This window comes from Homo sapiens, chromosome 14 (genome assembly GCF_000001405.40).
Source record: "Homo sapiens chromosome 14, GRCh38.p14 Primary Assembly".
In the NCBI taxonomy this organism is placed as follows: Eukaryota; Metazoa; Chordata; class Mammalia; order Primates; family Hominidae; genus Homo; species Homo sapiens.
The window spans coordinates 41,395,533-41,408,000 of record NC_000014.9 but is presented as its reverse complement, the minus strand read 5'-3'; the positions used below and the strand labels follow the sequence as shown (position 1 = coordinate 41,408,000).

The 12,468-nt window shown below is 35.7% G+C and overlaps 2 annotated features.

The window, feature by feature from the left end:
* Positions 3,338-3,873: an enhancer, noted in NCBI's record as "NANOG hESC enhancer chr14:41873331-41873866 (GRCh37/hg19 assembly coordinates)". NCBI's record gives its function as "activates a minimal SCP1, AML or CMV promoter by ChIP-STARR-seq in naive H9 embryonic stem cells {active_cell/tissue: H9 hESC(naive)}" and the evidence as "EXISTENCE:reporter gene assay evidence [ECO:0000049][PMID:30033119]".
* Positions 3,990-4,793: an enhancer, noted in NCBI's record as "OCT4-NANOG hESC enhancer chr14:41872411-41873214 (GRCh37/hg19 assembly coordinates)". NCBI's record gives its function as "activates a minimal SCP1, AML or CMV promoter by ChIP-STARR-seq in naive H9 embryonic stem cells {active_cell/tissue: H9 hESC(naive)}" and the evidence as "EXISTENCE:reporter gene assay evidence [ECO:0000049][PMID:30033119]".

The following is a 12,468-nucleotide window of genomic DNA, read 5'->3' as shown; positions in this document are numbered from 1 at the left end:
ACAGATAATTAAAGTATAATCATAGCTCCATGTTAAGCTGGGGGTGTTTAGGGGCCAGGTAATATTCAGAATCCTAAATGAGGTCCATCTCAAAAGATGCTTGGCTTCTTTGGCACCTATAGTAAATTCTTTTATGTTGTCTCTGCATCCATTTTTTAATACAAGTTCAAAAGTGCTTCTCATATCAGAAGCAGGGCTCAGTCACCCTTGACAGTTTATAGTTCTACACCCCACCCATGGTTCAAGCCAGTGGCCAGAGATAAGAACTTAGGGGCATCTGTCTCACCTAGCAGACTGAGCAATCGGATTTCCATTTCCTTTAAAAGGACTTTAAGTTTCGGGCATTTGCCCACAAATTTAAAGTGACCACTGCCTTATTCCCTTATGTATACTGCTAGTTGCTATGTGCATGTGCTCATGAGTGCTCTCTCTCTCTCCTTCTGCCTGCTGACTCTTCATTCCTGCTTTGATGACCCAGAAATGGAGGACTGCCCTCCCAGCTAATTATACCCTCCTTCCTGAGGATCTGTAAGTAAACAACTCTGAACTTATTTCCTTTAGTGGTGATGTATTAAATTTGCTCCTTCCATCTGAACTACGTGCTACCCCAGGCCAGGTTTCCCAGAATTCTCCCCCTGTCCTTTGTTACTGAGAACACCAAGGAGAACATTGTACCCTCGCAGCAACAAAGCAATGGTCATGCAGGTATAAACTGAACATGGGTGAGATAAGAACTGCAAGGGCATCTATCAGTATAAACACATTTTCTGCATGAGGGATCCCCTGGTCTCATATAGGACATCTAGGAATTAGGATATGCACTAGGTAAAAGAAGTATTCCATGAAAGGCACACTATAAACACCCATGCCCAGTTCCCCTTTGTTTTCTGTTAGGGCAGGTTGCTACCTGCTCTGGTACTGGAACCTTAATTTACCTGCAGGCTCTCCATATAGTACCCCAGTTGTCATTCCCCACTGTCAACGTGGTGTAATTATAATGGACATAGCATTTGACAGAACCTTCACATTGGTTCTTCAGCCTTTAGGGTAAGTACTATTTAATAGAAAGGGTCAAGTAGAAACCCTGATGCTTCCCACTATAGCAGCAGTGGACCCCTTGCCATGGGAAGCATTGGTCCTACCATATACTGCATCATTCTGAAATTGCCATCAAATAGAGAATTAGAGCAGCATCTTTTAGGTGTAGTCTAGGTACCAGTTTGGAGATGACACCCTCTGAGAATGGGCTATTATCCTTCAGGGTACAGTATCCATCTTAAATGATGCTCACTATATGCTGTTGTGTTACTAAGTAGAATATATGGATCTTAAAATGAGATCATAGAAGTAGAAGTACCTCTAGTCACCATTGCTTTCAGAAACCAAAAGAAGTGATTTATACTCCTACTCCTTAGGATCAATGGCCATAGTGATGCTGGCTCTCAAACGGATAACACTTTTCCCGGGGAAAGTGAGGAAAAGTAAGAATCCTGCATAACATAGAGCTCAAGCTTCCATCTGTTCATGTGGGTCTAGAACAATAAACACAGAAAGGAGCTACTACACTGTGGAAGTAATTGACTTTAGTCATGATGAGAAGTAAGCTCAGGTAATTTATGGGGTCTTATTTTTGTAGCTTCTTTCTCCACTTATCTGTAAATGGACAAATGTGGGAAAATGATTTGATAGGGGCATGGTACCCAGGAACTCAGACCTTTGAGTTATAAGAGACTGGGTCACTCCTTAGGAAATATCACATACAGATATAGCACAAGGTACTAAGAGAAGACAGAAGGAATCTAGAATGGTTGGTAGAAGAAGGTGATGACAAGTACCACTTATGGCCTCAGAATCAACTGCAGCATTAGGGGTCTAAAGTTTTTGTCTCCCTAACCTTCCTCTTATGAGGAAAAAAATCAACACCATGGATTTTGAATTCCTGGTTGAGATATTTAATTTAATCTCAAGTGTAGGACAGGGAAAAACAAGCTAGAGCCCATGAGCCAAATCCCACCCAACATCTGCTTTTGTAAATATAGGCTTATTGGGACATAGCCACACCCATATTTACCTGTTGTCTTTGGCTGCCTTTGCACTGAAATGATAGAGTTAAGAAGTCAGGACAGAGACCTTACCACTTATAAAGCCCTTTACAAAAAAATGTTGGCTGACTAGGTTAGTACAGAAAAGCACTCTTTCCTGGACAGATTTCCACAATTTTGTCTAATCCATATTGTATCTTTTTTTTTTTTTTTTTTTTTTTTTTACCAATTATTCCTCCCCTTGAGGGTTCCAGTTAATAGTTTTCTTATGAAGTTCAAGAATTTATCCATGTTTTCTGTACTGGCATTAAAGTCTAAGATCTCCATCTTCTGCAAAGAAAGAGGTGGATGGAAGAGTTGGAAAGCAAGACTTTTAGTTAATGGAGATGATATAACCTCTCCTCTCCCACCCACTTTCTGTCCTCTAGCAGCAATAGGTTCATTACTGCTCTAATGGCAGTTTGTTCTTGGTTTTGCACACCAGGACATTTTCTTTATTATGGGCTCAAGCACACACAGAGACATACATACAGACACACACACACACACACACACACACACAGAGACATACACATACCAGTGTGCATAGGCATGCATATACATTTCCCTCAGCATTTCTGTGTGATGCTAATGTAATATTTACTGTGATCCTAATTCACCAGTAACAAAACGACAGCTTTGTGATTTATAGTTCAAAGGTTGTCACATATCAATTTTGTGATAACTCACAAAATCTACCATATCTTTTTTTTTTGATACCTGATCTTCCAAGTAAATGGAGATTGTATGTGTTCTTAAAATTCACAATTAATACTGGTATTATTTTTGATCTATTGGCAATTAATAACATGTTCTGATAGATACCTGTAACAGGATTTTCAGTAGTCTTCATGAGGCAATAATTGAGTTTGAATGTACCTCAGTATAATTAACCTTTCACAATTCCCTGTGTGTGTGTGTGTTTTTTTTAACAGTACTGTAGTCTGGAACATGTTCTTGGATGAAATATCTAGAGCCATGATTTTTCATCCAATCCGGGACATGGATTCCAAGAATGGTAGGTGGCTAGACATAAGGAAGAGATGGAAGGGAAACATTCAAAATGCTAATCTAGAGTACTGGCACCCAGTATGGATTGAGGATTGGCTTCAACAAAAATTTGCCAAATAACAAATGCCATCAAGTTCTATTCCTAGGCAAGTTTCTTCAGTATTTATATTATAGATAAATATATTTATTTGTGAGGGCCAAGCAAACTTTTCATTATTAATAATTTCAGTTGGCATTTAAATAAATAACAAATATTAAGTTCTTCAATAGAAGACCTAGAATTAATGTCTTCTAAATTTTCACAAAGATGAGCCCATGTGTGTGTCTAAACAAAATAAATACAACTTAAAGAAGAAAACACACATAGTACGTCAACCAAATCTACCTTTGCTAGAGCTCTGATCCTAAACAAAAGAGAAGAGATCCTTGTCTGAGGAGAGGAGCAGGCTAAGAGAGATAAAGGAAGTCCATAGAAATTGAATTCAGACAATGTTTTTTCCTGATTGCCAGAGAGCTTGTACTCCTAAATTCCTTAAGATAGGGAGATGAATGCTCTAAAATGCAAGGATTTTTTGGCAGGCACATACTGTTCATCATCTCAGGAATGTCTATGCATCACAGACTTCATATTTAGAGCTTGACTGCTAAACTCTGTAGAATACTTTCTTAGAAGTCTTTATGAGGCAATGCTTGTAATGTATTAATAGTACCTAAAGTTTTGTTAGCTCTTTGATCTCTTTTTTTTCTACACCTCAAATTTTTTCTTTACTAAATAGAGAACAATTAATACCTTATTTGCTCAGAGAGGAAGAGAGAAAGAAAGGAGATAACATCCTGAAACTCATAATTCAGATGAATTGCTATGGATTGATGGGAAAATATAATTTAAAATAACACATTCTCCCAGCCTAGAAATTCTCTCCACAAAGGTAAAAAGAAGGAAAATTCTTTCACTATGGAATAATATCAAATCAGAATGCGAAGCTCATCACAGGCAATCTGCTAAGAAATTGCAAAGACAGAAAGAAATCTCACCGTTTTATATAGCCAAGCAGATATATAACATCTTTCCAAGATAAGCAGTAACTAGTCCTCAAGTAAGAGGACTTGACAGCATCATTTGCTCACATAGTTCATCCTCACTTTACCTGGTAATTAGGGGGACCATCCATGCTAGCTAGTTACCTTTTTCTTCTGGAGAAACAATCTTCTCATTTCTTTATGACAGGAGGTAGTTTTAAAACTTGGAATAAAGGCACTGAAGTCAGGCTCTTGCCTTCCCACAGAAAGTTGGAGATTGGGCTGCTATCTTCCTTGATTTTTACATGTCAAAGAGATGGCTCTCAGATCTTTGAGAAAGACATCCCTGGGTCATAAAGCTGACAAATGACCTATCTAGTTTTGAAAAGGATTTATATACATTTCAAAGAGAAAAGAAAGTAAAGGTTCTAACAAAAAAAAAAAAAAAAAAAAAAAAAGGTCTTCTCTTACTATTATCTGGAAGCTGGAAGAATGAAGCTTTTTCTTTTTAATTTTTATTTGTCCTTAGAGGTTGACACAAAGTTTTTATACAAAACAAAATAAACTATTGAACATTTTCCTTCCCACCTTCCTTCCTCCCTTGTTTTCTTCGTTGTTTTCTAAATTTCTGTTTTAGTTGATAAAATTGAGTCTCTTGTTTTTGCAATCTACCATTTAAAATATTTTTCTTACTCAAAATTTGATAACATTTCTTTTAGATAATGTGAAAAGTATAAGGAAAAGGTACAAAAATAAAATCACATAGTGCACTTTTTTTTACATTATTTTATTATAGACATTTCCCTAACATATTATAGTATTTTATTTTTCCCCATCTTTGATTTAGAAGGTATATATTCTATTTTTATCTATTAGTAATTACTTATAATTAATAAGAACATATTTAGACTTAAATTTTTTAATTACCTATATACAATTGAAACCATATTTATTCTCCAAAAAGTGTAGCATACTTATTCCTTTCTCATTTACTTCTTCCATTTAACTTTCCTATTAAATCTAAATTCAATTATTAGATGTAGAATAATTTTATTAATTTGACTGCAGTTTTTCTCAAAGAAGTTGCTCTGATATTTACATTAAATTTTAGCAATGATTAATTTAGAATTTGCATTAGTCTTGCAATTTTTGTAATAGATTTTTTTTCTTAATCACTGCCATTATTAAATCCTGATTTCTCCATTCCTGAACACTTACCATGATTAATAGCCTGCATTTTTTTAATCCAAAAGTCTGTGTGGGAAGTTTAATTCTGAAATATGGTAGTATGTAAATATATTTTTCTGTGCTTGAACTGGAAGAACAATTTACTGAAGTTTGAATTTTTGATTCTCACATGAAACTCTGAGAAAGGCAGTAGTCAACAATCCAGACTTTGAAGACAGAGAACGTAATCTGAACTCTGCCATTGACAAACTATAACTTTAGAAAACAGGCGGGGGCGTGGTGGCTCATGCCTCTGACCCCAGCACTTTGGGAGGCTGAGGTGGGTGGATCACCTGAGGTCAGGAGTTTGAGACCAGCCTGGCCAACATGTCCAAACTCTATCTCTACTAAAAATACAAAAATTAGCCAGGCATGATGGTGCATGCCTGTAATCTCAACTACTGGGGAGGCTGAGGCAGGAGAATCTCTTGAACCTGGCGGGGAGGGGGTTGCAGTGAGTCGAGATCGCGCCACTGCAATCCAGCCTGGGTGACAGAGCGAGACTCCATCTCAAAAGAAAAACGAAAACATACTCTACATTTGAACAGCAGTTATTCACGGGCTAAATGTTATTTTCATTATTATTCACTCCTCTTTGTTGTGACCTTTATACTTATTGAGAAGCAGCATGGCAAAATGCTTTTATGTTTCGATTGGTTGCTCTCGCTCTTTATGGAATAATTTCTTAATCCTTAAAATTCAAAATTCACACCAGGATTTGCTGAGATATCAATTAGTTTTATACTATTTTACTATTCATAGTTTACCAATAAATATTTTCAATATGCAAAACAATTTTTCTTGCTTTAATAATTATTTTCAGAATAACTTGAAACTTCCAAGTCTAGTAGCATAGAAGACATGCCCTCTTATCTTGTTGTGATCACAAGTCAAATGTTTTATACAATCTTTTCCTACAAGTTTACATTAGGTTTATTACATAAGAAAGAGCTTTTTCTAATTATTCACGTAAACTTAAATTTACGTAGACTTTTCCTGTTGATCATTCTTATCAAGACTAGTCTTAGCCCGCACTGGGACAAGAGTTTGTAAATTCTGATCAGTTCTTTTAAGCTTCATTGAAAGAGAAAAGGAGAGATCAGAGTTGTCATTATTTGAATTTGTTTGTTCAGTGTTAAGAGCAACCATAGCAGATAAGGAATGTGGCCTAAGCAAAGGCAGCCGTGGCACTTAGTTTGATACTGAAGTAAAAACAAAAATATTCTTCCCTAGTTTCAAGTGGTAGCCAGCAGCTATCTGGGGTGAGGTGCTGCTCCATTTTTTTTTTTTTTTTTTTTTTTGAGCCAGAATCTCACTCTGTCACCCAGGCTGGAGTGCAGTGGCACAATCTCAGCTCATTGCAGCCTCCACCTCCCGGGTTCAAGCGATTCTCCTGCCTCAGCCTCCCAAGTAGCTGGGATTACAGGCATGTGCCACCACGCCCAGCTAATTTTGTTTGTATTTTTAGTAGAGACGGGGTTTCTCCATGTTTGGTCATGCTGGTCTCGAACTTCCGACCTCAGGTAATCCACCCGCCTTGGCCTCCAAAAGTGTTGGGATTACAGGTGTGAGCCACCGTGCCTGGCCGGTGCTCCCTTTTGCCTGGCAGTTTCTTCTTCATCAGATGTGAGCAATAGTATTGACAGTGGCATGTCTGTCTAAACCAGAATAGGCCAAGGATAAAAAATGTAGTGGCCTTTAACCTAGTGCACTTTAGAAAGTTACTGGTTCTAAGCAGACGCATCTCCTGACTGTCCTACATTCTGTCTTGGCTTCTCAGGTTAGGGAAGATTACTGAAATTCTGTTTCTTTCATTTACACATAGACAAACTGTTCCTTCATAGGAAGTTTTGCTTAAGTCACCCTTTCTTCATTATGATCAATTCTGAGAAAAAAAAAATTAAATTAAAAAGTATATATTTATATATAAATTATAAATTATATATATAATTATATATATACACACACACATAATTATTTGATTTCTCCAGCAAAAGACTGCTACTTATCTCTGTTTTCCAGTATGGATGAACATATTTCCTAATTTTAATATGCAGTTGGTATCCCAGTAGGACTATTAGGGGAAGAGACTAATACATTTGTACAAATTACCATTATACTCAGAAATTCACTTCCAAAAATATCAGAATAAATGGTGGTTCTTTTTCTTTTATCTTTAAAAATGTCCTTGTGAAATTGCTTTATGCTAGGGAACACACATAACACATACCTGTGATAATTTTAGTTGAAGTAAAAGTCAGTAAGTAATTTCAACAATCAGCTAATTAACCCACAAAGTTGAACTTAAACCGTCAGCTAATTATCCTGTGGGCCTGAGCCATAGCCATTGAGAAAGGATCTGGAGGACACAGGTTGAAAGACAAGGCACTCTCCTGCTACAGTGAGCACTTTGGCTGGGTGTGGGGGTGGAGTCTGCTATTCTTTGAGTGATAAAAATACAGTTAAGCAACCTGAAGAATAATTGATAATTATGACTTTGCCTATAAATATATTTATTTAAAATCAGGTGTTATTATTTTCTATCGTCATGTCCTCTCTTATGAATCTCCTGTGCACATTCTTTACCATTTTTCCCCACTGGGTTTATTGTTACTTTTTTTTTTTCTTTTCTTTATTGATATCTAGGCATCCTGAAAATTGATCTCATTGCTAAGGGTTGCTAATATATTTTTTATACTGTTGCTTATCTGTTGACATTTTTATAGTCTTTTCTTTACAAAGGTTTTTAATTTTGTTGTAGCTGAATTTATCTATTGCCTCCATTATGGTGTGTGTGTGTGTGTGTGTGTGTGTGTGTGTGTGTGTGTTTTCTTTATTAGGAAAGACTTCTCTACCTCAGGGTCATAAAGTTGTTCTCCAAATATATATATTTTTAATTTTTTACAACATCTTGTTTTTCACATTTAGGTTTTTGACCCAACTGATATTTGTTGTGTGTAGGAGGTAGCAATCTAGACTTGTTTTTTTTTACCTAAGGAAAATTAACTTTTGAAAACATGATATCATATATATATATATATTTCCCCACAAATGATACCAGCCTGTCCTATACCAAGTAGCCATAAATACTAGGGTCTGTGTTAGAATTTGGTCAGTATCAAGGGTGAGGGATTTTTGCTAAATCGACCTAGCACTCTTGCTGAAACTGGACTAAGTGGGCTAAGGACAGAGCCCAAAGTCAAGGCCTCAAAAAGAACACTAAGGAGAGCCTGACTCTAATTTGGTCAAGAAGAGTCTTAGTTGCTAATTCTTATTTGGATCTCGAAACTTGAAAATTAATTTAACCTTTACATCGTTGAATCTTTCTATAAACACCATTACTTACAACATTTAAATTTATTCTCCTATATCTAAACATTAATTATTTCAACAAATATGTATTGCACATGTACTATTTTCTAGGCACAGTCTTTACTGTGGGAATAAAGATGTGAACAAAGACTGAAAGGTTTTTTTTTGTTTTTTTTTTGTCGAAAGTGAACAAGTAAACACATAAATACATAAAATGATTTTAAGTGATGAATTAGTGCTATCAATGTTTTAAAAAGTAAAGTAAAATGATAGAGTTCTTAGGGAAGATCTTTCCAAGAAATTGATACTTGATCAGAGTTCTGAATAAACTTGGAAAAGAAGATAATTCCATTAGTAGGAAAGAGCACAGTGGAAGACTTTGGGGCAAGAAAGGGACTGTCATGACTCAGAGACACAGAATGAGTGGTGAGGCTAAAGTTAGGAAGTGAGTGGGTAAGAGGGAGCATGGTAAAATATGTGTCAGGGAATCAGGGACTCGGGTGGAGGGTTGAGTTTGGATTTCGGCTAAACTGTCTTTTAGGGGAACTTGGGGAGTTTTGGATGGCAGAAGGGTAAGATCTATCTATTGTATTATTTATAAAAAGTGACTCTGGCTCTTTGGTGGGAAATAAATAACAGCTTGAAAAGGAGATAAAAAAAGTGATTTTCAAACAAAGGATGAATTATCACAAGCCAAAATATTTCATTTTCAATAGAAATTGTAAGTATTTTCTTAACATTTCTAAGCTTTGCCTGCACATGTTATATCATCAATCCATTAATTCTTTTACTTACTCATCCATTTATTTATCAAAAAATATCAAAGAGCTATTCTGGTTTTGCACTTCGCTGGATGCTAGAAAACCAACAGAAAGCGAGACATGTGATTTAGATGGAGAAAATATCAAATAAATAGCTATATTTAAAATGAAAAGAACCATAGTGATGGAAATCAGCAAATGGTACTGAACAAATGCTGAAAGAAAGTGTAGGTTACTAAACTTTTATTTTTACTAACTTCTGTGTATTCTCATCAAGCTCCTTCACACTCTCAGTTAGGATGTACCTTAATTTTTTTCCCATTCCATCTTTGGCCATCCAAATACCCTGGGCATGGTGCCTTTATTTCACATTGCCTGCTTTGTTGACTTCAATCTGTTTGGGCTTGCTCCAGCTGTTTGGGGGACTTTGGAACATTATTAAAGGGACTTAACTATCTGTTTGCAGTTTATTAGAGAGAAAGTGTTAATTTGCTTCTTAGCATTTTTAATTAGCTCTGGAAACCTCTAAGCATCTTTGCAGTAATTCCAGGGAAATTCAGGCTTTGTAGTGAGTAGAATGATCTTCTAATTACCCTTTCAGACATTCTGGCCTGATCTGCCTCTTATGGTAAAAAGAGAGAGAGAAAAAAAGAAATTGTGTTATCTGCTGCCTGTTTGCATTTACAGCTTTGTTTTACTCCACTCAGGAGTAAATTCCTTTGACAGTAAGTATTATGTCATCCCAACAGAGGCCTACATTCATCTGATCTTGAAGACTTGGCTTTGTAAAAAGTGATTGTTTTTGAAATACTGACCATTATTTATTAGTTACTTTATACATACTCCAAGTTTAAGAGCTTATTGTTTGTAAATTTGAGCAAAACAGAAGTTCTATAGCAGCAAATGAATTGTTAACTTAATCAAATCTTAAATATAGTAATTCTAATTTATAATCTTTATTTAGAGTCATTTATGTTAAAGAATAGCAATTTAGTGTATAATCATGATTCTAATACTTACATGTACTGAACACATGTGAAAGATTTTATTAAACTTACTTATTAAGAAGGAACCTGGTAATAGTTTTCAAGTAGTACAAAGGAGAATTCAAAGATTGGAGAGACATATTGGGAATAAGGAACTCTAAAATGCACTTACAGATAGATGCAAAACAAATATTTACAGGACAATAATCAGTTACATTCCACAGGATGCAATTAATTTGAATCTCTATAATCAAGAATAATTGGTATTACTATTCATTTGCTATCTGGAGTTTTAAAATAGCTTAAGACAATAAAATAAAGAGTTGAAAAAGTAAGCTGGACACTGTACAGATTATATTAGTCTTATTTTATACATTTCAAAGTCTTTCATAACCCACCTGTCCCCACCTTGTGATTATAATAATTCTATAGAAATACAACTCAATCACAAAAGGAGGTGTTTCACATTGGGCTTGGCCTGATTAATTTTATAAGTGTAGAAAGAGTATTACTTTACTATATGAAGCCTTCTTCAATTTGCTTTGAAAAATCTAGAGCCATACGGTATTGAACCTTTACCAAGATCACAAAACTAACTCCTGTCTGGAAATTTTCTTTTGGAATCTCAGGTAAGACTTTTAAAAGTCTGTATTATTTGATATCCAGAGACTATGAGACTAAGCCCAGGACTCTGCACAGCATTTCAACTGCTTATACATTTGGGGAAATTAGTCTCTTCTGGAGTCTATAAGTTAAGTCAACCAAGTAACTTAAAAGTGGCTTATCATACCTGATTAAAGGAGCATCATTTACAAATATGGCACACCAGGTCAAACCTATCTTGTATAGTGTATCAAATTATATTCTAGAGAAATGAAAACAGATTCTTACTGAAACTATATTAATAACAATATTGCATGAAAAGAAAAAACTGCTTAGGGATTTTATATATATATATATTTTTTATTATACTTTAAGTTCTAGGGGACATGTGCACAACGTGCAGGTTTGTTACATATGTATACATGTGCCATGTTGTTGTGCTGCACCCATTAACTCATCATTTACATTAGGTATATCTCCTAATGCTATCCCTCTCCCCTGCCCCCACCCCACAACAGGCCCTGGTGTGTGATGTTCCCCTTCCTGTGTCCAAGTGTTCTCACTGTTCAGTTCCCACCTATGAGTGAGAACATGCGGTGTTTGGTTTTTTGTCCTTGTGATAGTTTGCTGAGAATGATGGTTTCCAGCTTCATCCATGTCCCTACAAAGGACAGGAACTCATCATTTTTTATGGCTGCATAGTATTCCATGGTGTATATGTGCCACATTTTCTTAATCCAGTCTATCATTTTTGGACATTTGGGTTGGTTCCAAGTCTTTGCTATTTTGAGTAGTGCCACAATAAACATACTTTTATGCATGTGTCTTTATAGCAGCATGATTTATATTCCTTGGGTATATACCCAGTAATGGGATGGCTGGGTCAAATGGTATTTCTAGTTCTAGATCCCTGAGGAATCGCCACACTGTCTTCCACAATGGTTGAACTAGTTTACAGTCCCACCAACTGTGTAAAAGTGTTCCTATTTCTCCACATCCTCTCCAGCACCTGTTGTTTCCTGACTTTTTAATGATCACCATTCTAACTGGTGTGAGATGATATCTCATTGTGGTTTTGATTTGCATTTCTCTGATGGCCAGTGATGATGAGCATTTTTTCATGTGTCTGTTTGGTGCATAAATGTCTTCTTTTGAGAAGTGTCTGTTCATAATTGGGGGGAATCAGCGAGAATCAAATTTAGTTTTAAAATGTTTCATCATAGTTCATAAAAGCAGAATCTACTAAATTTTTGTAAATTAAAGAATAGCTTAAGAAGAAACAGAAAGGACTTCCTTAAATACCTGGAAAAGACAACACTAAAACCACATCAAAAAATTTCAAAGAAATTACAGTAAAATTTCCCTGATCAGTTCATTTAGTCCCATATAATTAGTTCATATTCCTCTTGATCTTTGATTAGCAATGGCATGAAACTTCCTGCTGTCTGAATTTTTTTAAAAATCTGG